The following is a 26612-nucleotide window of genomic DNA, read 5'->3' on the forward strand; positions in this document are numbered from 1 at the left end:
CTCTAACTCATCAGGGAACTGGAGATTCTGGAGGAGGCAATGAAGAGAACCAGCTGATATCAATCTGCGATGTCCCATTTACCCTGGGAAATTCCTTCTGAGTTAATCCAGGTGCACATCCTGAGTTCCACAGAACCCTTGGCATCTTTTCTCAGTGTCATAATGAGTGGTTTACATCATCATCTTTCCCACTAGATTCTGGGCTCCTTCTTAGGGGAAGAAACTCCAGTCTTTCATCCCGGTCGTTTTAGGGCTGAGCCCATAGTTGGTAGTCAATAAATATTTGATGAATGTATACATAAATGAATGAATGAATGCAGGCATAAATTTTTCTACCTCAAGCATGTCTGCCACAGACTGACTGCCTGAGAAGAATATATTCTGTGCAGAGTTCCATTATTATTATCATGATTATTGACAATTTTCACTTGAAATATACTTCAAAGTGTTTTCATGCATTAGTAACCTGAAATTTTTATCCCTATTGAAACTATTCACATAATAAAATGTTATTTTCTTCACACAGCCACACACAAAACAAAACTGATTCCTTAGCCAACATTCTAGGCAAAATATTCTATTTTTGTGAAGGTCAATTCTTGCAGTATGACATCTATTCCAGCAGCTGACTTTGCAAATACACATCCTCCCTCACTTGGGGAGGATGCTAGAGGTTAAGATATAGGTCTCTGTTTTTAGACACTTGATGTTCAGGATTTTGATACTAATGAGAACTTTTAGTAATCAGAAATGTCCACAGCTACAAGCAGTGAGTTCCCTCTCCTTGAAGGTGTCCCATGGAGGATGAAAGTCAGCTTGGCGGTGCCTTGCAGAGGAACTAAGCATCACACTGGTATTCAGTTTAGATGTCCTTGCTTTTCTCTTCAACCTAAACTTATCAAATTTCATGATTTAACATGGGAAATAGAAGATTTTTTTCTAGCAGTATTAGGTGGTTTGGGATCTGCAAAATAATTCACATGAGGGCAAAGGCTAAGACTAGAATCTTGGTCTCTCTGAACAGAAATTTCCTTACTGGTCTTTCAGCAGTTTTCATGGATTTTAGTACTCCAGCCAAATGAGCTACTCCTCTCTGCAGAAATCCTTAAGTTCCCCAGAAGTGATCCTTTTATTCATAGCACAAGGCCCTTTAACTTGTCACTGAATCTCTCCTTGGCTCATCACGCTCCAGGCATTCTTGCAGATCACTTTTCCCTTAAGAAAGGTGGTTCAGACTTCCTCTGCAAACTAATCATAGGCTTGTAGGAGGCTGCCCAGGAAAATATTAGGCAGACTGATTAGAATGCTCGGATTCTGATCCTCAGGCCACTACGGACCTCACTGATAATGGAAATGCAGCTTAATGTTCCTTTCAGTGCTGCCTAGGCGATATGAAATATCACCTGCTATCCCAGAGTCTGTGGTGCAGCCCATTGAACACCACTCAAATGGGCCGCTGTATATTAAGACTCTTCTCCCACTGCACGAGTCGAGAGCTAGAACACAGAGCCCTTTGCAGAGAGACAGCCCAAGCTGAAGGAATGCTTGGGTGACTCCAGTGGCCTAGGGAATGTGACAAAAACTCATGCTCATCAGTTGTTGTTTTGTTCCAACTTTGCCACAATGTACTCTATAATTTCAGTTTTCCTGATGGATTCTGGGGTGGGCAAATAGTGCTAAGCCTCCGAAGCACTGAGGTTGCCTTTCTTCATCACGGGGAAGCTTCCAGCCCTTGCAGCAGAGAACGGGCAGGAGTCCATACAGTTGATTTGTATTGACAGCTTCACCCCTCTCCTGGCACAGATGGGAAATGGCCAAGAATGATGTGCAGAGTGGAAGGCAGTCCAGGTCAAGGCAGATGTTCTATTGTGTTGCTCCAGATACAGAAACAGGGCCAGGGTCAGAAGCTGTTTGTTCAGTCCCCACACTGTTAAAGGAAGGATCTGCAGGGCATGTTTAGAGAAAGCAAAAATAAAATGAAAAACAAAGCCCTCTTTCCTCAAAAAAGAGCCATACAGTAGTGCCACGGACAGGCTTGAGATGGAAGAAAAGAGGTACTAGATGTGTCTCGTCCATCAGCCCTGAGCAGTCCTGCCCTTTGAACCAGGCTAGGGAGGCCTTTGTCCCTTTTATTCTTAGAGGGCTGTGCTCTGGTATTTTGCTGGCTGTCTTTCTTCCCATGTAAGGGAGAGTCCTCCAGGCCAAGGGGATAGGCCCAATTGGAGCCTACCTTCCCCTTCTGCACCCTGGAATTGTCTAATTGGTGTGATGGCTAATACTGAGTGTTGATTTGATTGGATTGAAGGATGCAAAGGCTCCAAGCTTGGGCCCAGGGCCTGTGAGCATCTGTCCTCCCTGTCTGTCCTCCTGAGGGTCACTGTGCCACTGCTTTCAGAAAACCTCTAGGCTCCAGGAGGGCAAAGGGAGCCACGTTTACAGGGGCAGGGCAAGGATAGAGCTTGCGAGCTGAGCTGTCCACACATGTGAGCAGGATTCATGTTTCAGTGCCTATGGAACCAGGGGTGGGAAGAGAAGAGGGGATGGGCTTCAGGCCAGGGCCACTTCTCCCCCTGGTCTCCTACCAACTTCTCTTCATTAGGCTCTGGCAAAGAAGGTGGCCAAATATATTTTATTACATGTTTGTAAATTTGATTGATAATGTTAACATATTTAGACCTATAGTATATGGACCTCCATTCATACTCATGTTTTGGGCTCTGAAAATATTAGAAGTGGGTCTGGTTCTGACCACACCCCCTTCCTCCTAACTGCTTCCGGAAGGGGAAGGGAAATAAGGACTTGGGGTGGTTTGACAGGTGGGAAGTGAGGGTGTTGGGGGGCTGAGTAGGAGGTACTTTGCTGCTACTGAACCAAACAAAAAGTTTAGAGAAAGTAAAACTACCAGGAAGAAATCAAAATAGAGTATGTTTTCTCTCTGTGGTTCCCTATAAACTCCAAATGTTACAAACACTAAGGCAAGAGTGTCAATTCTACACACACACAAAAAGGAAAGATGCTGTCTCTTGGCTTGACTTGGTAGGTTCAGAGCGACTGTGATACTGTGACTAGGAAAGTGTGGTGAAGGTCACTGATCAGCATCTGCTTCAAACCCAAACTCTCACTATCTCAGAAGCAAACAGCAAGGTAAAAGTTTTGTCCAACAGCAGAGGGACTGAATAGAGAAGGAACTCATTAACCTGGTGTGATGGCTAATATTGAGTGTCAATTTGATGGGATTGAAGGATGCAAAGTATTGATCCTGGGTGTGTCTGTGAGGGTGTTGCCAAAGAAGGTTAACATTTGAGTCAGTGGGCTGAGAAAGGCAGACCCACCCTTAATCTGGGTGGGCACCATCTAATCAGCTGCCAGTGTCGCTAGAATATAAAGCAGCCAGAGAAACATGAAAAGGTCAGACTGGCTTAGCCTCCCAGCTTACATCTATCTCCAGTGCTGGATGCTTCCTGCCCTAAAACATTGGACTTCAAGTTCTTCAGCTTTGGGACTTGGACTGGCTTCCTTGCTCCTCATCTTGCAGATGACCTGTTGTGGGACCTTGTGATTGAGTGAGTTAATACTATTGAATAAACTCCATTTTCTATTCAGGCACACTCCTAGTTTCTTAGAAGCATGGACAAGTGGTTGGTCTGAGTCTGTCTAGCTTGCCCAGGTTGAGATGGCTGATCTGATGGGTATCCTTGCCATCCATCATTGCTCCATGTAATTCTCCCCCAAAGCTATGACGTTCAGCTGAAGAAGGTTGAACTCGCTGTCTTAGTTTGGCTTCCCCCAAAAGCAGAACCCGAGACAAGGACTTGAGTGCAGGTGGTTTATTTGAGAGGTGAATCCAGGAAGCACAAACCAGGATGTAGGGAAAGAGAGACAGGGAAGACAGAAAAGCCAACATGGTGTGCTGGTGTCTGCTCTACTCACTACACTTACTCTCCCAGATTTCACCTTTGCTCACATCAGTCCTCATGCCATGGAATGAACCTAACCTTTCTGTCTCTCATGAAGAATTCCACTTACATGAATGGCGGGCAAGGCTCAAAAAGCCTCGCCTTCCTATTTGTAAAATGACTTCAAACTGTCTACATAGTTCAATTAAAATTTTATACTTCCTTCCAGGATTAGAACACAGCTTCCAAATTCTCTTAAATGCCTGGGCAGCCATCAAACCTTCCAGTGATCGGTGATGCAGTAAATACATGGGTTAGGGCAAAGGGGCTGGCAGCAAGATGAGGAAAAGCTCACTATCTAACATAAATAACCTATGTCATAAGACTGTGGAGAAAATTCCCATATGCACTTTGGGGCAGCCCAATCCTGAGCATATTAGACCTTCCCTGGCACCCCAGATGGTGAGGCTGTCCTCTCCCTCCAGCTCCCTCCTTGGCCCCTGTCTGAAGGCCCAGTATCCTCCCTGTTCTCACACGAGTCTAATGTGGGCCAGAAAGGATAGATTTACGTGCCTTCAGCACAATGCATGGCCAGTGAGTATCAAGTCCTCCTGACTCTCTGGCCCTATGACCCTATTCTGACAACTGAGTCTTTTCCGTATGCCTCAGATCTGCCTACCATCTCCTGTTTTCATCTGCCGCAAATGAATCCAACTCCCCAGACAACTATTGAACATTCAATTACTGGCTCAAGTGGACAACTCAAATTACCGGCTTTCCCTTTCTGCCTGACCCAGTGCAAAGACCTCTATCCTATACTGACTTATGGCGAGAAGTATTAGAGCTTCACATAAGTGCTATGAAGAGCATTGATCAGTATCTTTTGCAAACCCACACTGTAAAAATGTATCAAGCCAAATGTTTTCTATGCAGAGGTGACTTGCAGAAGTCATTACTGTTTTGGCAGGATGTTGGGCTAATCAGAAAATGATGCTGCCTAATCGTAGTAATCACAGTACCAAGTCAGGAGTGAGTGGGAGACTAGATCATATTTATTTGGTGAGAAGAAGAGTGGCCAACCACCTACCTTACCCTTCCACAGGAGCCTCCATCTGTCAGTCAACAAGTCTTTTCCAAGAGCCTTCTATATACTATGCTAAGCTTAGGCACCAGCTTAGGAAACTCAACTCAGGCATGAGAAGGAATTTTCTGACTATCATTAGGGGATTTAAATACTTGGGCGTATTCCTGAGACAGCCTGGGTAGCCTCCCTGTTTTGCAGCTTTTATTAATGTGTTAGACTTTTAGGGAAAGCTAAATCAGTGATTTCCTAGCTGAATTTCAGAAAACCCTAGGGTGTCATGGAACCCTAGACTTCTATAAAGTATGCTTTAAGGGATTATACACATATTTGGTTAAGATTTCACTTTTTAATGAGAATTTACTTTTGACTATTTAAAAAATGGTAAGAAAAAGTGGCACCCATGCATTTAAATGTGTCTTATATAAAACTTGGATATGTTGGAACACCAAAGTTTGGGTGCTGCTACAAGGTTAACTCATTTTTGTGCAGACTTGAAATCAAGCTTCTCCTGTGGCATGTATTTAGCTAATTGCAGGGGCATCTGTTAAACAATGATGTTACAAATACCTGTGTGGACCATGATCCCCTGACTCCTACACAATGAAAACAAGATACTGAGGCTTACATAAAACTTCAACTGTTATCCTAACTTCCAGTTAAAAATTGCTGCCTAGTTGAATGAGCCTTACTACTCTAATTGGCTGGCTTTTTAATGAGTAAATGTGACAAAGCTGTACTTACAAAATAAATTCATATAAATATAACCATAATGCCATTTTTTATTTATGCTAGCTATTGATGTTTTATATAGGTTTCCTTAGGGAAAAAAAATGAGTCATAGTTAAAAATAACTTTGAGACCATTAGTTTATTTTTTTCATTTTTAAATTATTTATTTATTATACTTTAAGTTCTAGGGTACATGTGCACAATGTGCAGGCTCGTTACATAGGTATACATGTGCCATGCTGGCCTGCTGCACCCATCGACCCGTCATTTACATTAGGTATTTCTCCCAATGCTATCCCCTCCCCCTGCCCCCCACCCCATGACATGCCCCAGTGTGTGATGTTCCCCACCCTGTGACCAAGTGTTCTCATTTTTCAATTCCCACCTATGAGTGAGAACATGCAGTGTTTGGTTTCCTGTCCTTGTGATAGTTTGCTGAGAATGATGGTTTCCAGCTTCATCCATGTCCCTGCAAAGGACATGAACTCATCCTTTTTTATGGCTGCATAGTATTCCATGGTGTATATGTGCCACATTTTCTTAATCCAGTCTATCATTGCTGGACATTTGGGTTGGTTCTGTGAATAGTGAATAGTGAACTGTGAATAGTGCCACAATAAACATACGTGCACATGTGTCTTTATAGTAGCATGATTTATAATCCTTTCGGTATATACCCAGTAATGGGATTGCTGGGTCAAATGATATTTCTAGCTCTAGATCCTTGAGGAATCGCCACACTGTCTTCCACAATGGTTGAACTAGTTTACACTCCCATCAACAGTGTAAAAGTGTTCCTATTTCTCCACATCCTCTCCAGCACCTGTTGTTTCCTGACTTTTTAATGATTGCCATTCTAACTGGTGTGAGATGGTATCTCAGTGTGGTTTTGATTTGCATTTCTCTGATGACCAGTGACGATGAGCATTTTTTCATGTGTCTTTCGGCTGCATAAATGTCTTCTTTTGAGAAGTGTCTGTTCATATCCGTTGCTCACTTTTTGATGGGGTTGTTTTTTTCTTGTAAGTTTGTTTAAGTTCTTTGTAGATTCTGGATATTAGCCCTTTGTCAGATGAGTAGATTGCAAAAATTTTCTCCCATTCTGTAGGTTACCTGTTCACTCTGACAGTAGTTTCTTTTGCTGTGCAGGAGCTCTTTAGTTTAATTAGATCCCATTTGTCAATTTTGGCTTTTGTTGCCATTGCTTTTGGTGTTTTAGACATGAAGTCCTTGCCCATGCCTATGTCCTGAATGGTATTGCCTAGGTTTTCTTCTAGAGTTTTTATGGTTTTAGGTCTAACATTTAAGTCTTTAATCCATCTTGAATTAATTTTTGTATAAGGTGTAAGGAAGGGTTTCTACATATGGCTTTCTTTCAGGTTTCAGGTTTCTACATATGGCTAGACAGTTTTCCCAGCATCATTTATTTAATAGGGAATACTTTCCTCATTTCTTGTTTTTGTCAGGTTTGTCAAAGATCAGATGGTTGTAGATGTGCGGTGTTATTTCTGAGTCCTCTGTTCTGTTCCAATGGAGACCATTAGTTTAGATAAAGGTGTGTAATGACTTCAAAATTCCCTTCCAATCTGATTATCTAATCACAACACTTGTTCTGACTATATTGCAGCAATGATACTTTTATTGGAAGAATACTCATGGTGTTATGTTGTTGCTATATGAACAAAGCAGGTTTAAAGGAGCTGTATATGACATATTATATATATATTGCATATTCATACGTACATATACACATATATACTACATACGATTTATACTTAGAAAAGACTAAAAGTAAATATGCCAATGCTACAAACTATACAAAAAGCCAATTAAAATTATTTTTTGAAGGCAAAAAACGTGGCATTTCTTCAGTGTAGATGGATGAGTGTGATTGGCATTATTTCCAAATGCACAAAGTAAATAAATGTGTGAGATGAGCCTAGAGTTTGCTAAGCCCACTCTGTATATCCCTTCATTCACTGCTAGTTGGTTTCTTGGCCAGGAGACACATATACTGAAGCAGTGAAGGGGCTGTACAGCTCACCAGTTAGGTGCACTGGTTCAGATAGATAGGCGACTGGGCCCAAATTCCTCTTCTGTCCTTCAAAAGCTGTATATCCCTGGGCATACTTGACCTCTCTCAAATTTTCTGATTTACAAAAGGGGATGATAATATCTGCCTAGCAAGACTACCATAAAGAACATGAAATGTGTTTAGAACCCCAGGACAATACCTAGCACATATTAAATGTCCAGTAAACGGCAGCTATTGTTATTGCTAGGAAGTGGCTCTTGCCACAGGGTGTTTCCAGTCTAGTGGGGAAGGCAGCAGACATTTGAACAGATGAATTATACTACATCCCAATTAGCAATGCTATTGAAGCAAAGACTGTGTTGGGAACTCAAGGGAGGCATGCTTAATGGAGTTAGAGCTAGAGAGTCTGAAACTCAGCTCCATGAAAGAAAAAGATTACTTCAGGCTCTGCCAAGATCTTTTCGGTCTCTGAAGCTACAGAAGAAACCTATGGAAGAGAGCAGAAGGCTTTGGAGGTGTGCCAGCCTTTTTGCTGTAGGTTCAAACTGGGTACTCTGCAAAGGAGCCCTGTTTCAGGGGACCTTGCCCAACACATGGGTAATATGGCCAGTCCCAGCTCTTGTACACTCTGACAAAGTTTGGGCTTTGAGATGAGTGAGAGCCATGGGCCCAGGCCTGCCTGCTTTAATTAGTTCCATTACATGCCTTCAGTGCTGCAAGAGAACACAGAGCCCTTCATCTTGTGTCACCTGCCAGGTAAGGGGTATGTGTCTCCTGAGACTGTCAGAATAAAGTTGTCTCCACGCATGCACAAGTTGAGCTCCTCAGCCCACACCACATTACTGCTTTCAAACACTGAAAGCTATTTTTAGTTGAGATTCCCTTTTAGGGAACATGGAGTGGGGAAGAAGGGTTGAGTAGTTTGATGGAAAGGAAGCACCAGATTTTAAAGATTCAGCTGCAAATTAGCCCACAAGGTTGTGTACAAATCTCTAATCTAATGTAACATTTGACCTTTGGAAACTACATTTGTTTTTGTTGTTTTAATGAAATGGAAAGCCAGATAAGAAAGATGAGGCTTCTAAACAAAGATGATTTTAGCTAGAGAGGAAGGAAGAAAAGCCAGGGTGGCAGAATTGCACCGTTGAACTAGGCATGCAGGAGGGAGATGGAGCTGGGGATGAGGAGAGAGGCAAGCTGACTTAGAGGGGCCATGGAAGACTGTGGGTGAAATGCACAAGGCAGAGTGTGAACAGGAGGGAAGTAGGCTAGGAGGTGGAGATGCAGGGTAGGGGAGTACAAGCAATTAAAAATGTGGCAGCTGCTCATGGGATTCCATGGCCCATGCCTTTGACCACTCCTGACTTGAACCACATCTTATTTTAGCTGCAGATGTGATGAGCAGTTCCTTTAACCAGTGAGGACTTCCTGTCTTAAGGCTCCTCAGCTCCTCTGCTTCAGAACTTTCTGCAAAACTGCAGAACCCACTTGGCCAAGTATGGAGGAATTAATGTGAGGCTGGGAAGAAGGAGGTAAGTGGAAAGAGGATGGGCGAGGTGAGGGGTTGTTGGATAATGCTCCAGCCTTCAAACCTATGGGAGGTGGGGGGCATCATTATTCTAAGTGCATTCTGAACAATTCTTCAAATTGTCCCCAGTCAGATTCCACCCCAGTTGCCCAAAGTGGTAACCAGCTCAGTATTCATTCTTTAAGGACTCTCCATTCTTCCCTGTATCAATCTCTCTGCCCTTCATTCCACTTCTTGAGATCACCTCCGAAATCAACTACCTGCACCTAGGTCCTTGTCTCAAATAGACTCTGCTTTTAGGGGAACCCAAACTTTGAGTAATTTGATGGAAAGGAAGCACGAGGTTTTAAAGATTCAGCTGCAAATTAGCTCACAATGTTGTGTACAAAGCTCTAATCTCCTGTGAGATTTCAGCTTTGGAAGCCACTTTCTTTGTTTGTTTGTTTTTGAAAGTAATGGCAAAAACCACAATTAATTAATTTTGCACCAACCTAATAAAAGAGGATTGAAGGAAATGAGTTGGTGGCAGCAGTATCTACAACAGAGAAAGGACAGATTAAATTATGCCCGTGGAAGTGTTCCACCATACACAATATTCCTCATCGTAACATAGGGCCGAAAGGACTTTTAAGATACTGTCTAATCTGTATTCTTACCTTAAGGCAACTCCTTCATCTCCCCAGACAGGAGAGCTTTCTTAAGAGTTGCTATTTGAAAATTTCTCAATATCATTAGCAAAATGTATGAAGTTGATAATTATCATTAGTACTGATAATAAATTAGAACACTGCCACCATAAACATAAAGTTATCACTGTTGACTTGTTACAAACCAATCTGATCAATCTGACAGATAACCATGTGGGAGGTAAGCCTGGGTGTTCAGTGCTCAATATATTGAAACGACTGCCTCTCTCCCTTCCCACCTCAATGAGGATTTCTGTTTCTCCCATGTATTCAACAGGAAATAAATTTTTCCCCATTTGCTGGTGCCGTATAAGCAAAACTATTTTCCTCATCATTGTTTAAGAACTATGTTTATTCAGTTTTGAAAAATCTATTTTTGTACACATACATTTCTGAAGAAATCCTTAGATACCATTTAAAAACCTGAATATTATTTTAGCACTAAGATTATCTTCTCCAGTTTCCTAGACATTCTCAGAGACATTGCTGACTGGAGAGGATACATTTTTTTTTTGGGATAAGGATTAAATTTGTTTCTCCACAAAAGAACCGCCTATTTCTGTAGCAATGCTATTTTCTTGACAAACTCAACCCTCTGTGGATTAAACTCCTCTTTCAACATTGACATCAAATATGTAATTCCCACAATTTTTCAAATGGCTAAACAAAATTATGAATGAATCTTCAGATAACATGTGAGATGAATGTGGACATTTTGAAATAGACTCCTGTTTAAATATCATTACCAGGAAAATTACTCTTCAGCAGAAAGAAAACAGTTCTGTTTTCATGGTACATGGGAAAAAAATACAAGATTTAAAAGGGAAATTTAGAGCCATTATCTGGACTATTTCTGCTAGTGCCATAGAATACAGAAAGCTATTAGAGATCTACAATGTAGGAAGTGCATGTAGCTGGTTGTAATCGACACTGAACTTCCAGTAGGGTTTTGAAGAGGCACATCCTGGCAATGTGGGAGAGTGTTGGTAATTAAACAGTCACAAAAATCTGAAACTGGAATGCTGACAAGAAAGCATCCTGGCATTACTAGCACTAATAGTCTAGTAGTGTCTAATAGTCAATCTGCAGTGCTCCTCTTCAGCTTAAATAATGTTTGCCAGAAATCTCAGTCAACACTTTTTTCCCTCCTTTCTTTTTGCATTATGCTGCAGGAATTATAGGAAGCCTGCTGTGATGGCAAGAGATTAGAAGGCAAGGATGTTCTCCAGGATAGGTTGGTTGGGAGACAGAAGTAAGAGAAACCAGAAAATGCACCTCAGTAAAAACTCTTGCCTGCTGGCCAATGCAGTAAAGAATAATACAGGATCTCTGACATGTGGGGTCAAAGGCTGCCTTGTCCTGTTATTTGTAGTTGTCATGCATTAAAAAGCTGCCTAAAGCTTTAGGGGTGTGTGCCAGAACTGAGCTGAGGTGGTAATAACTCCGTTTCTCTTCTGGGGTGTCCAAGGGTTATGTCTACAGAGAATAAGACCATTTGATGCAGACAAGAGGCAGGCAAGGACTGTGAGGAGCAGACACGTTGGGGTCAGCCAGATGAGAGTCTATTTACTTGAGGGAACAGTGAGCAAGTCATCTTATGTTTCTCTTCAGTTTCTGGCCTAAAGATAATAGCAAGAATAGTCACTACCTTGAAGGGTCGTGATGAGTATTAAATGTGATCACATTGGCGCAGTGCTTCGTACAGTGCCTAGCAATAGTAATACTCCATAAATGCTAGCCATTGCTTTCAGAGAAGAGGAAAACTACCACCAGGTGTTTTTTCATCATATGTAGACTATTGCAACAAGACCCAAGTTGAAATTTAGCCAAACTACTGTAGAGAAGATTCATGAAAGAGCAGAAGTTTTTATCATTCCTGTGTAAAATTTACCATGTGCTCAGCACCAGGCTGTGTGGTTGCCTATGAGAATTTTCAGTTCATTGATTGCTGGGCTAATAAATATGGAACACATTCTGTGTGAGTTTGACTCCAAGCCCTATGGTCTTTTTGCTATACCATATAGCTTCCTATCCTAGACCGGAAGAATTCACACAAGATTAGAACCCTGGCTTCCTAGGCAAGTCTTTCTGAGTGTAACTGTGGTACGGTATTACTATGCAGATATTCCTTCTCCCACCCTTTCCCTCTTGCACGTTGCCTTTGTGATTTATTTTGTATTTTTCATTTATTTATTATTTTTTCTTTTTTTCCTGAGATAGGGTCTTGCTCTGTCGCTCAGCCTGGAGTGCAGTGGCACGATCTTGGCTCACTGCAACCTCCACCTCCCAGGCTCAAGTGATTCTCCCACCCCAGCCTTCTGAGTAGCTGGGACTACAGGGGTGTATTTTTGATAGAGATGGGGTTTCACCACGGGCTGGTTTTGAACTCCTGAGCTCAAGTCATCTGCCCGCCTCTGCTTTCCAAAGTGCTGGGATTACAGGCATGAGCCACTGTGTCCGGCTGTGAAGTATTTTTTAAACAAAATATTTATTATTTTTTCTCCTTTTTCAAAATTTGTTTTATATTCAGGGGGTACACAGGCAGGCTTGTTACCTGGGTATATTGTGTGACGCTGAGGTTTGGGATATAAATGATCCTGTCACCCAGGTACTGAGCATAGTACCCAACAGTTGATTTCTCAACCCTTGTCCCCACTCCCTCCCTCCCACGGCTAGTAGTCCCCATTGTCTATTGTTGCCATCTTTATGTCCAAAATCACCCAATGTTTAGCTCCCGCTTATAAGTGAGAACATGCAGCATTTGGTTTTCTGTTCCTGCATTAATTCACTTAGGATAATGGCCTCTGGCTGCATCCATGTTGCTGCAAAGGACATGATTTCATTCTTTTTTATGACTGCATAGTATTCCATGATGTATATGTACCACATTTTCTTTATCCTGTCCACCGTTCATAGGCACCTAGGTTGATTCCATGTCTTAGTTATCGTGAATAATGCTGCAATGAACATATGAGTGCATGTGTCTTTTTGGTAGAACATTTTGTTTTCTAGGTCAAGTGGTAGTTCTATTTTAAGTTATTTAAGAAATCTCCAAACTACTTCCCACAGCAGCTGAACTAATTTACATTCCCACAAACCGTGTATAAATGTTACCTTTTCTCCATAGCCTCTCCAGCATCTGTTGTTTACTGACCTTTTTTTTTTTTTGAAATGGGGTCTCACCCTGTCCCCAGGCTGGAGTGCACTGGTGCTATCTTGCCTCACTGCAACTCTGCCTCATGGGCTCAAGTGATCCTCCCACCTCAGCCTTACAAGTAGCTGGGACTTCAGACACAAGCCATTAGGCCCGGCTAATTTTTGTATTTTGTTTCAGAGGCGTGGTTTCTACAGCCATGTTGCCCAGGCTGCTCTCTAACTCCTGGTCTCAAGTGATCCGCCCACCTTGGCCTCTCAAAGTGCTGGGATTACAGGCGTGAGCCACTGCACCTGGCCTGACGTTTTAATAATAGTCATTCTGACAGATGTGAGATGGTATTTCACTGTGGTTTTGACAAAATATTTATTAACAGGTCTGTATGTGCTGGACACTCTTTAAAGAAAATCTTATTTTCCAAGCAATGTACAGAATTGTTCAAATATGTTATTACTCCTTGTGAGAAAAAATAATGTACGAATATATATGTGCTTGTATATGTCTAGATATCTCTGAAATATTCTGGAAGAGACTGTCTGGGTGAATGGAAGTGAGGGCTGAGGGTGAGAGTTTTGGTACTTGTTGAATTCTCTACTCCATGCATGCATTGATTATTCAAAATTAACTTTAAAAATAATATTTCCCTATGTAGCTATAATTACAATTGCTGTCATTTTGATTAATAGCTCTATGCTCTGCCTACAAGAATCCAAGTTTGTCTAAGAGCCTGAAAATGAGAGTCCTGTTGCTTTCAGAGCAGCTGATAGAGCAGAAGAAGGACTATGCCTAATTTACCATCGACCTCACAGGATAGTGATGCCACTGAAAAACATGCCAAAAGGGACACTCAGTTTGTTAGATGCAGTCTTTCCACTAACATATTTTTAAGGACAGAGTGTGAGTTAGTGTACCAAGACTTTACCAGAACTGCCGCTCCTAAAGCCACCATGCACATGACTGTGGCATCAGGTCAACTGCAAACACAGAGCCTGCGAAAGCAGTTGTCTCACTCAACATACAACAGGTGCACTGATAATTCTGCCAACAACCCGTTAGTGATGTCCCACACATAAATCTCATTTTTATAAATCCAAGTATCTGTTCAACCAAATTAAGTACCCACCTATCCTATGCCAGGAACAGTTCTAATGAAATTTTATTTATTTTTTATTTTTATTATGATTATTTTTTTGAGACAGAGTCTTGCTCTGTCGCCTAGGCTGGAGTGCAGTGGCACAAATCTCAGCTCACTGCAACGTCAGCCTCCTGGGTTCAAGTGATTCTTCTGTCTCAGCCTCCCGAGTAGCTGGGATTTCAGGTGCACGCCACCATGCCCGGCTAATTTTTGCATTTTTAGTATTTTTGTAGAGTATTTTGTATTTTTAGTAGAGTAGGGTTTCGCCATGTTGGCCAGGCTGGTATCAAACTCCTGACCTCAGGTGATCCACCCTCCTCGGCCTCCCAAAGTGCTGGGATTACAGGTATGAGCCACTGTGCCAGGCCCAGTTCTAATGAAATTTAAATATTCAAGTGGTAAGCTTAAAACATACCTCAAAATGAGTTTGATTTTACAACAAACTGTTTTACAAATGAAAGCATTACACCTTCTTACGTCTCTTCAAAATGATTTAAACATATTGTGATTAGGATCTTTGGGATGAATCGGAATCTCAGGTCCATCGCTTAGTAACCCTAAGCAAGTCACTTAATATTTTTGAACTTTAATCTCATCTTCTGTAAAGTGGGAACAATAACACCTATTTTTCATGGTGATTTGAACCTTTTAAATAGTGTATCTTTAGGGAGAGAGTTTAGCACAGTGCCTGCCATGGGTTTGCTTAATAAATAATAGTGGCCGGGTGCAGTGGCTCACACCTATAATCCCAGCACTTTGGGAGGCCGAGACATGTGGATCAGTTGAGGTCAGGAGTTTGAGACTACCGTGGCCAACATGGTGAAACCCCGGTCTCTACTAAAAATACAAAAATTAGCCGGGTGTGGTGGCAAGCACCTGTAATTCCAGCTACTTGGGAGGCTGAGGCAGGAGAATTGCTTGAATTCAGAAGGTGGAGGTTGCCATGAGTCAAGATAGCACCACTGCACTCCAGCCTGGGCAACAGAGTGAGACTTTGTCTCAAAAAAGTATAATAATAAAAAATTAAACAAATAATAAATAATAGCTAAGAAGAAAAAGTACAAGTATTTTCAGTTAAATGAATAAACTGCCGTTTTATAAATCCAAGTTAAATTATACCCTGCCCATTTCAGCTTGCTCAAGAGGAAAGAAAAGAAAAAGAATTCTTAGCTCTCTTGTTTTTTCTTTCTTTTCACAAGTCAGAGCAAAGAAAGTATACAACCACAATATACAGGAAACACACGTGTTCTGTAAAAAGGGGCAGCAGCTCTTTACTTTCAGAGAGAGTGAAAGATGTGAAAGCTAGTCAATGGCGGAGCATTAGAAACAGGATCAATAGGAACAATATCACCTCTCTGGGTCAGCTGATGAAAGCCTGGAAGGACTGGGCTTGAAGAGATGACTTCCAAGGCGTCTAGTCCTGATTGCTTAATATTTCATTAGAAAAGGTTAGCTCCCCTGCCTTGCCCAGAGTCATAGGAAGTCAGTGCAGGAAAACATCTTGGTGATCATGCAGATATCAGGCTCATTTTACATGGCAGGGGCAGAAAACTGGGGCTCACTGAGAGAAGACTGGCCCTGAATCACCTAGCAAGTGAGTACCAGACCCAGAACCAGTAGCCAAACCTGCAGATGTCTACGGCAGAACTCGTTCCTCTCTATCACCCAGACCCCAGCTGTTGCTGTATACCATGGGCTTAATTCTGGGTTATGATTATGACTTGTTGAATTTTTAAGCTCTCTAAGATGAACTTCAACAGAAAACATTCAGTATTCCCGAATGCTATATAACTTCTGCAAAGGGGACTAGTATGACAATTTTATTTCATGGGAATGGGGGTAGTGTATAAGCAGTGAGCAGTGTTTCAAAACTGGAGCTTCCTTTGAAAGCCCTATAAGGCAATTGGGCTCTTTTGAGGATGCTTATCTCTCCATGAGGGTATGAAAATTAAAAGTTGGAGGCACAATACCTTTGTAAAGAGCTTTATGACTGACACTTTTAACAGGGTACTGTGGCAGTGTTTGTTTCTTCAAAGTGCTGATATGACTTGCGGGTAAATCGGCTACTTTTTCAAGTCTCTTTCTGTCATCAAATGCTTCCTACAACTTGTAGGTTAACTCGACTCATTTCTGCAATATTGAACAACCAAGAGGAAGCCAGCATTACAGTTTATGATTAAAATAAAGTGAAGGTGTCCAAAATAATGTTAGCTGTGCCTACCAGAGCTCATGCTTTAAAGTAGACTTTTCCAGTTAATACTCATGTTTAACCAGAAAAGCAGAAACCTCACTCTGAGGATGTGGGTTCTGCCTTCTTGAGCATGAAAAGTTTCCTTTCTGTTCTTCAGGTAATTATATCATTTACTTCAGTTAAGAGTTAATCATTTCTATTTTGAACAAAGAAATATTCTATAAATAGGTAATAAACATTTCTTTGAGACACTTGCAGGCGGCCACTCAATAGAAAGGGCATGATAGACTTTGGGAGGCCAAAGTAGGCAAGTCACTTGAGACCAGGAGTTTAAGACCAGCCTGGCCAACATGGGGAAACCTCGTCTCTATTAAACGTACAAAAATTTAGCTGGGCATGTTGGCGCATGCCTGTAATCCCAGCTACTTGGGAAGCTGAGGCAGGAGAATCATTTGAACCCACGAGGTGGAGGTTGCAGTGAGCTGAGATCACGCTGTGCACTCCAGCCCAGCCTGGGTGACAGAATGAGACACCATCTAAAAAACAAAAAGAAAGAAAAGAAAGAAAGGACATGATAGCTTACATAACAGGCATGAGCCAACTCTGCCTGTCTATGCTTTAAGGAGTTTATACTTTGGGATAAAACACATCTGTTGCAAGGAGCAATATTATTAGACCATTTTCATTAGAACTGTTGCTATTAGGTAGTATCCAGAATGCTAGTCCATGTAACAGACATCACAGGGATGATTGATAGAGGAAACTAATTTCATTCAACAGGCCCTGACTGGGAGTACAAATCGTGTATATGCCAAGTATGAGGTAGACAAATAGCCTTTCTAACAAACACGAAATGGTAAAATATTACAATAATTTATTTCAGAAGCATTGAGTAGTCTGTTTCTTTCCTCCTCCTAGAGTGAGTCATCACACTTGAGGTATCACTTTGTATGAATGAGAAGGTCTATCCATGTTAAAAATCTGGCTGTGGTTTTAAATTGAGGGCACCAAAAGGTATCCTTGGCTGGCAATTGGTGGTCCACGCATAGGCGTCTGTGTCATTTTCCTCCATACAACATTGGTTTTGTGTTCAGCACACTGCTCTGTGGAATTACAGGGCCCAGGCTCAATGATTCTGGAGCTCCAAGCAATAGATCTTTTCCAAACTCCAATTAAGCCAACCAAGTAATATTTGTCTTTCTTCAACTGCCTTTTATCAGGATGTTGTCTGAGATTTCCAAACTACTTGGTCCCTTCTAAAAGAAGGAATGAAGCATGAATATTTATCTCCTGCTTACAAAGTAATTACAAATAATTAGCTCTGACATAACAAACAACCATATCCCTTCCATTTGTTTCCATCTCTAAGATTTCAGGGTTTTCATTGATAAGACTCTTAAGGAATGCAAAAGTTGATTATATAATTTCACAACATGTAGTGCTTAGCAATAGTAAGGAAACTCTATTTAAATTCCAAGATCCAGTAATAACTATAGGAAAGTAGGTACTGCCTCAAGGAAGAGTAGGCTGCTATAATTATTGTATTATAATTATTAGTTTAACATAAGACTTTCTCACGGTATTGTAAGATCTGACAGGAGTGTATAATATCTGTCTTGTTCAAGGCTAAATTCTCAGGATTGTAAAGTTTTGTTAGTAATAATATCAGCCTTAAGGCTTATGGTGAGGAATTAAATAAGATCAACAAATGTAAAGAACTTAACGCAGTGCTTAGAAGATAACAGATATTCAATAAATATTTTGTTTAATGCAAATTATAGAGGAGCACAAACAGGAGAAGGAAAGCTTATGACCGAAGAAGTTCCTGCCTGTCACAAAGTTTTATTTGCAGGCCAGGCGCGATGGTTCATGCCTGTAATCCCAGCACTTTGGGAGGCCGAGGTGGGCAGATCACCTGAGGTCAGGAGGTGGAGACCAGCCTGGCCAATATGGTGAAAATCTGTCTCTACTAAAAATACAAAAAATTATAGCCAGGCATGGTGGCAGGCACCTGTAATCCCAGCTACTCAGGAAGCTGAGGCAGGAGGATTGCTTGAACCCGGGAGTCAGAGGTTGCAGTGAGCCAAGATTGCACCATTGCACTCCAGCCTGTGTGACAGAGCGAGATTCTGTCTCAAAAAAAAAAAAAAAGCTTTATTTGCAAAATTGTCACGAAAGCTAACATTTATTGAATGCTTGCTATGCGCCAGGCTTTATGCCACCTTACTTCATGTCTGACAGCAAGACTAAGAAGTAGGTGTCATTATCACCATTTTATAGATGAAGAGGATAAGACCGATGGAAATAATGCTCCTGGGTTATCGAACAATTAGATGGCAATTCTAGGGTTCAATCTAGGGTTTACCCCAGAACCAGAAGGATGAAGCCCTATGATGCATGCTGAAACACAGCTTGGTGGAACCTCCTCCAGAAAGAGAGCAAAATTGCAGCATCTATGTCATGTGGCCAGCACTAAACTGGATGATGGCTGCCTTTTAACTGTCTGCAAAGTCTTGAGAGGAAAAAGAGCCCTCCGGCTTAGAGATTTCTGAGAGGGTCCAGATGGTTAAAGGATGACTGGCTATAAGTGGATGAGAAAGCTTTGGAAGTGAACACATCTCAACTGTTTTTCAAACCAGCCCATAAAAGAACTTGTGAAGTTCTAAGAAGGAGAGGACATAAAATAGGAAGAATGAGTCAGGAAAAGCAGTCAAACTACTTAGGGGCACTTAAGAAAGAGAATACAAGTCTGTACATTTTGTGTCTTATGAAAAGTGTCATTGCTCTGGTGCAAGAGGGCTGTAGCACAAGTCAGCAGATGAGGCTATGGGCATGTGACAACCCGAGGTCAATGCCACAAAGTTTACACAAACCCCAAAGGCAGCTTGAATGTCAGCAAATTTTTGCAGGAGAATAGGAGAGTGGCTTGGAGGATGACACAAGGGACTTCCATAAGGGGACCTGGAGCCCTGAAGTGAGACCAGATGAATGGAAAACAAGACACCAAAGAAACCAAAAAGGGAGGCAGCAAGGCATGAAGGGAGCAAGGTGACAAGATGTTGTGGGCTGAGTTGTGCCACCTCTTACACAATTTATATGTTGAAGCCCTAACCCCCCAGGACCACAGAACTGTACTGTATTTGGAGATAGACAGCCTCTTTAAAGAGGTGATTAAGTTAAAACGAGGTCATTAGGGTGGTCCCTAATCTAATCTGCGTGGTTGGTGTCCTTATTATAAAGTGTTATTAGGACACACATAAAAGAAACACCAAGGTTATATGTACACAGAGAAAGGCCATGTGAAGACCCAGGAAGAAGGCAGCCGTCTGCAGCCAAGGAGAGAGGCCACAGAAGAAACCAAATCTTGACCTTGGACTTCTAGCCTCCAGAACCATGAGAAAATAAATGTCTGCTGGCCAAGCCATACAGACTGTGGTATTTTGTTTTGGTAGCCTTGGCAAACTAATACACCAGGGAACAAATGAGCCATCTTTGGATTCTCCTAGGAAGGAGGAAGAACAGGCAGGAGGCAGGAAGAGGTTGGTTCAAGCAGCACCATGGGTGGCTCACAATAGTTCACCAAGTATTTTTATTGTAAACTCTGTTCTTTTGAAAGTATCCCCTTCTATTAGTCTGTTTTCATACTGCTATAAAGAATTCCCCGAGACTGGGTAATTTCTAAAGGAAAGAGGTTTAATTGACTCACAGTTCAGCATGGCTGGAGAGGCCTCAGGAAATTTTCAATCATGGTGGAAGGCAAAGGGGAAGCAAGGCACCTTCTTCACAAGGCGGCAGGAAGGAGAAGTGCCGAGTGACAGTGGGAAGAACCTCTTATAAAAACCATCAGATCTTATGAGAACTCACTATCATGAGAACAGAACTGTCCCCATGATTCAATTACCCCTACCTTGCCTCTCCCTTGACACGTGGGGATTATGGGGATTACCATTCAAGATGCGATTTGGGTGGGGACACAAAGCCTACCCATATTACCCCTCAACTGGTGAATCATGGAAAATTGGAGAGATAATAGCTAAGGCCCAGGACAAAAGTTGATATTCTGAAGAGACCTTAGACAAACGTAAGACTCTGCAACAGGCAGGTATCAGTGAAGAGAACTAAAAGTATGGCAAGGAGGCCAAAAAGAATAACAAGGAGCCAATGACCATGAACCTGCTTACTGCCGAATTCTATCAAGAGCTGGTTTTGCTGGAGACCAAAGCTTCAGGTGCTGGAAATAACATTTCCGTGATGTATGCTGGGAGGTCAAGAAGCAAAGTGGATATAAAAAGGCTTCACAAATACCTTCAACTGAACCAGCTTGGATTTTATTGCAGAGGACCTCTCCCTCACCCTGGGCTCCCCAGGGATTGCCAACCGTCTATTAATATGCAAAGGCTGGTGTGGCAGAACTCAAACACTGAAGCCTTAGAAACAGGAAGCTGGAGGAAAATTAAATGCATTTCATTCCCACAGCCGTTTTGATTACATAACCACACCTGAGCCACAGGCACACATCATTTTTACGTGATATCCTAATCACACCTGGGGGAGGTATTCAACATGTCTTACCTGTGTCTTAGCCCATCAGTGTTCTTAAACTCCTCTCTCTCCATCTCTCTCTCTTTCCTTCTTTCTGTGTCTCACTTTCTTCCTCAAAAGTTTGTAACATGGAATTTAAACCTAAATATCAAATGGTTTGACTGTTCATCAACGTGATATATTAGCATGATGGAGCGGCAGTCCAAGTGATAGATCCATCTTCAACTTGTTGTGTGACCTTGAGCATATCACACATCCTTTGAAATTGTTTCTTCATCCATAAAATATGGGTATTAAAAATAAGACTTTTCTCTATGCCCAGGGGGTTGTGAAAAGTTATTTACAAATGTTGTCCCATTTAATCCTCTCAACCTTGCAAGGTAGGTATGTATTACCTTAATTTTCCTAAAAGTATTGGGGTTACCTACTTCATAGAGTTACTGCACTAAATAAATTATATACAGCATGAAAAAACACTTTGTCGACTATGAAGCACCAAAGAAATGAAAGACAGCTAGATATTTGTTCTCAGTTCAAAGAAATCTCATGACTGTATAGTGTATGTTACTTCTAAGGAACATACTAAGAGAGGAAGAAAAGTCATTTGTCATTTCTAAGAGAGGAAGAAAAGTAATTTGTGTCCAACTCTGACATATCTTATGAACTAGCAATTTTTGATAGAAGAAAATGAAAACCAAAACAAGCTCAGAGAGATCTAATCACAAGCAATATGCAGAGATTAGAGTTCAGGAGTCACTTAGGAGAACACAGCAGCTGTTGATTTGTATGGCTGAGGGCAAACCTGGGGCCAGCCATGTCAAGGTATGTCTTGGTGAAGTCTGGCTTCAGCATGCTCTCCACCTACCTTGCAATGCAAACCTCATTTCTTTTCTGTTATCCTCCAATTCAGAGCTTTTATCCACCCCTTTCAATTGTCATAATGTATAATCCCATTTTTCACTCTTCTTAGGTCTCCTAAGAAGGCAACATATAAGTGGCTGAGCCAATCCAGTTGATATGTCCATAAATGCTATAGAGTTAGTGTGTTATTTTCCCAAAGTGAGAACTTTATAGCACAGTAGGCCAGTGAATGAAACAATTTTGGGTGGACCAACTGCTATGGTCTGAATGTTTGTATCCTCCCCAAATTCACATATTGAAATCCTAACTCCCAGGGTGATAGCAGTAGGAGATGGGGTCCTTGGAGGGTTGACTAGGTCATAAGGACCTCATGAATGAGATTAGTATTCTTGTAAAAGAGGCCTGAGAGAGAGTGCTTCCCCCTTCTACTATGAGGACACAGCAAGAAGACACCTTCTATGAACCATAAGTGGGCCCTCACCAGACACCAAATCTGCCTTGGACTTCACAGCCTCCAGAATCATGAGAAACAAATTTTTGTTGTATATAAGCTACACAGTTTATGATATTTTGTTAGGGCAGCCTGAACAGATGAAGACATCAACTTTTCCTAAGTCATAATAATGTAACCAATAACACCCACTAAAGCTTCTAAAGTACTCTTTGGATGAAGCAATACTTTAATGTAGAGTCAGTCTACTGCAGGTGATCGAAGACCTTACGGGACAGATAGGGTAAGAGTTATTATTATCTTCATGTTTTAGAAAAGGAAAGCAAGTCTTAGAGAGGCTCATTGACCTTTTCTACCTACCTACCTCCCTTCCTTCCTTCTTTCCTTCCTTCCTTCCTTCCTTCCTTCCTTCCTTCCTTCCTTCTTAGTGTAACAATGTTCCTCCCTATAACTCACAATCATCCATCCTAGCACTATCTTCTACAGCTGTTACTGGAGGTTATCAACCAAAAACCTCAAAACAAGTACTTTAAAGCTGAGAAGAAAATGCACATAAAAGTCCTATGAAAATTGCAAAGCACACTACAAATACAAGCTATCTAGCCTCAGATTGCATGTATCACCATTAAGGTTTCTGGGGATTTTTCTTTTTAAGCAAAATGGCATGGTTTTTATTTCTATTTTTCACCATACACATGGCAGCCTCAAGAATTCCTGACTCTATTCTCTGCTCTGTTCCAATAAACAGTCACTAAAACAACTTCACTCATCAACCATGTCTGCAATTTAGAAATAAACTAAAACTGCAAAGCAAATCACTGTTAATAAGAATTGTTCTTCTGTTTGACAGTTGAAGTGGGTGTGAGATGGGCATAGCAATGAACAGTGGGAGCCAATGAGGTCCTCAGAATGCGGCAAACTCCTCTGTGAAAATGTATCCAGGCAAATGTTTACTGAAAATCTCTAGTAATTTCAAGAGAAAACAGAGTTGCTCTGGAAAAACCCCAATGCATTATTTAAAAGCCTTCTCTTTTTTACCTGTTTATTTATACTCAATTTACCTAGACCCCTCCTATCAATCAGCAAACCTTCCTCAGGGGAACAGGTGCAAAATCTGCTTAGTTTCAAGGGCCCAGTAGGGTTGTGAAGTTGAAAGAAAATTATTTGAGCCTTTCTGTGGAAACGAGCTAGCCTAATGAGAAGTGAGGACTTCCAACAATGGGGGTTGTTCTCAGACAATGGCATTCAGTCCTTTTCAAACACAAAGAGGTGTTTTTGTCAAAAAAGGGAATTTCCCAAGAAACCTAAGTTTTTCTGTACAAGCATTTAGGAACTCAAAGTGGAGAGCAGCCCATGCAGGATCCTAATAAACTAAAATTATCTTTTGTAGAGGAATTCGAATGAACTGTCATTTAATGGTAGATGGGAAATATTTGGGCATAGTAGAAGAAGAAAAATAAGACAAGGAGAAAGGGTCAGAAAAGTTCAGGGTTCTCTGTGTTTGGACTGGGGAATTAAACACATCTAAAGAGCTGTCATAACAAAAAGATTCATGTTGGGCTCCACATTCTCCTGACATTTACCTCAACTACTAAGTATTAAATATTTACAAAGCACTTGGGCTTGTCGAGTGCTTTTTAACTCTTCTTTACATTTTTGCCTTCTGCACAGGTGGGGAAGTGTCGCTATTACTCCCATTTTATTGGTGAGGAAGTGGAGGATCATAACTACCATGTGACATATTCAAATTACAAAGTTAATGGAAGAGTCAGAGCTGGCATGATTAAAAATGGCACAGCCATACATGACCCCATGTTCCTAGAGTAACCTGTCTATACCCAGGGGAAATCAGTCAATGGCCCTAAGAGAAATTCAGCAGGAAAGCAGTTACTTGCTTCTTTTCCATGATCTGTTTTTGCCAGAGGGTGGATACTTAGATTCTTTAAATTTAGTGACAGGAGGAGAGCTGGAAGAAAAGTGATGCACCTCTTATATATTTGGCTGAAGACAAGATGGTCCATAGCAGCTGCTGCCCTCATCACTTCCTCCACCTTCTGAGCCATGAAGCTGTCACAGTCAAGAACTTGGCACATGTTATATTTTATATAGAATGAAGCATCCAGGTTCAGATCCTCCATCACCTTGGCATCTTTCGTCTAGAGTATGATCTCTCAGAAGAAAATTATCCATTTCCTTTCATTGATTTTGCAGTAAAACAAAAAGAGTAATCACAATAATAATAACTAATATTTACGGAGCATTTCCATGTGTCAGACATATTTTAAGGACTTGAGGTAGAAGGAAAGAGGATGCCAGAAGAAATTTTAGCTCTGACATCTACAGTTACAGCAAACAATCAACACAACCTAACTCCTAGGCAAATAAAGAAAAAAGAGGTGGGGAACTGGAACTGGCTTACAGGCCATGGGTAATTAAGCCTTATGTTAAGCAGCTCCAGGCATTCCACAACAGTCTCCATAGCAGCAAATAGGAAGCTCTGGCCCAAATGGAAAAACTGATTTAGACTTTGTCCGGAAGAGAGAATGATGGGCGGCCTGTAGGCACATCCAAACACAGTTATTTTCTTTTCTTCTTCTTTTTTTTTTAATCACTTTTTGTTATTATTTTTTGCAGCACATAAAATTGAAAAAGAAAAAGAAAAAACTTTAACACATTCTATTACCCAAATGTATCAAGCATTTTTAATCTTCTCAACAGCACACAACCACTAGGAAGTGGTTACAATGATGACAGCCATTTCACAGATGTGGAAACTGAAGCCCAGAGAGCTTAAGACTGGTTACCTCCCAGCTAGTCAGTGGTTGAGCAAGGATTTGATCCCACAGCCTGTGACTTTAATCACTAGCACAATAACATCACATCAGTCCTGTCCACACGCTAATGTCAGGCAGTGCGTTTGCACAGAAGGATGCATCTTCTTGGTGTCCAGTGTATCCACTTCTACTTTATACAGCTCTCTTCCTTTTGGATGAGACATTAACCTCACATGATCATATTAGAGATTCATGTCCAAATTTACTAAGTCTTCATGGCAACGAGTCATTGATTTTCTTTCTTTGTTTTAAGCATTTCTAGGCAATTTTGATTCATGTTCTACGAATTCAGACTCAGATACATGTGGTTAGAAGTATAGTGTTTTACGGCCAGGCACGGTGGCTCACACCTGTAATCCCAACACTTTGGGAGGCCGAGGTGGGCAGATCACCTGGGGTTGGGAGTTTGAGACCAGCCTGGCCAACATGGCAAAATGCTGTCTCTACTAAAAATACAAAAATTAGCTGGGTCTGGTGGTGAGCCCCTGTAGTCCCAGCTACTCGGGTGGTTGAAGTGGGAGGATTGCTTGAACTTGGGAGGCGGAGGTTGCAGTGAGCCGAGGTCACGCCACTGCACTCCCACCTGGGTGATGTGACAGAGCCAGAGTCCCTCTCCAAACAAACAAACACACAAACAAAGAAACAAACACCCAAGAAGTATGGTATTTTACCCCCTCCTAATTTTTAAAAACATGAATCTAAGTGTCTTCTCCACTTTCATTTTTCTATATCAGTGGTCAGCAAACTATAGCCAATCTGGCTCTTGGTCTATTTTTGTAGGACCTACATGCTAAGAATAGTTTTTACATTTTTAAAGGTTGTAAAAAAGAAAAAGAAGGAGAAGAAGGAGAAATAGAGAAGGAAGAGGAGAAAGTGGGGAGAAGGAGGAGGTGGAGTATGCCATAAAGACTGTATGTGACATGCAAAGCCTTCAACTCTATTCTCCAAAGTATTCCAGGGTCAGTATTGAGTTAGGGTATGTGTAAGAGATACAGAAGTAGCCATATAAATATTGTGTTTTATAAACAAAGTTGAGGAAGTAAAAGTTTAATCCATAGGGGATGGGCAGGTAGAATACACAGGTGAATGGGCTGGATGAACAACTGTAGGAAATAATAGGGCCTCTGAAAACAGGAGAACAGAAGCAAAGACATTCAACTTAAAAAGAAAAATCAATTCCTCTGACAGCCAAGCAAAGCACTGCCTGCCATCTTATGGCCCCTGGCTTAAGTAAAACCATTTTGAGTTAGAAAGCTGTGCCTTTAAAAAAGATTTTCTTGATTCTCTTGGATGTTGTGTTCCATTGATTCTAAAAGCAATAAAAAGAATTTTCATGAGATATCAGTAAAAGTGTACCAACCCAGAATGACTAAGGGATAAGTTACTGAGGCAGGTGACTGGCTCGCCTGTTCTGGAGGATGTAAGCAACTGAAAGCATCACATTTGTCTGAGGTGATTTATTTCTGATTTATTTCTTACAGGAAGCA

At 41.4% G+C, this 26612-nt stretch overlaps 1 protein-coding gene across 4 annotated transcripts in view; it reads right to left on the reverse strand.

Moving 5' to 3' along the window:
- SNTB1 (syntrophin beta 1) overlaps positions 1-26612 on the reverse strand; it is a 276291-nt gene that overhangs the window by 180118 nt on the left and 69561 nt on the right. Inside the window, exon 1 of one of the 4 annotated variants that reach the window (XM_047422127.1) lies at positions 1-26612. This exon is cut by the window's right edge and continues 37598 nt beyond it. The exons of the other annotated variants lie outside the window; for them this stretch is intronic. The gene's annotated coding sequence lies outside the window, so the exon portion shown is untranslated. 4 annotated transcript variants of the gene reach the window in all.

This window comes from Homo sapiens, chromosome 8 (assembly GCF_000001405.40).
Source record: "Homo sapiens chromosome 8, GRCh38.p14 Primary Assembly".
In the NCBI taxonomy this organism is placed as follows: domain Eukaryota; kingdom Metazoa; phylum Chordata; class Mammalia; order Primates; family Hominidae; genus Homo; species Homo sapiens.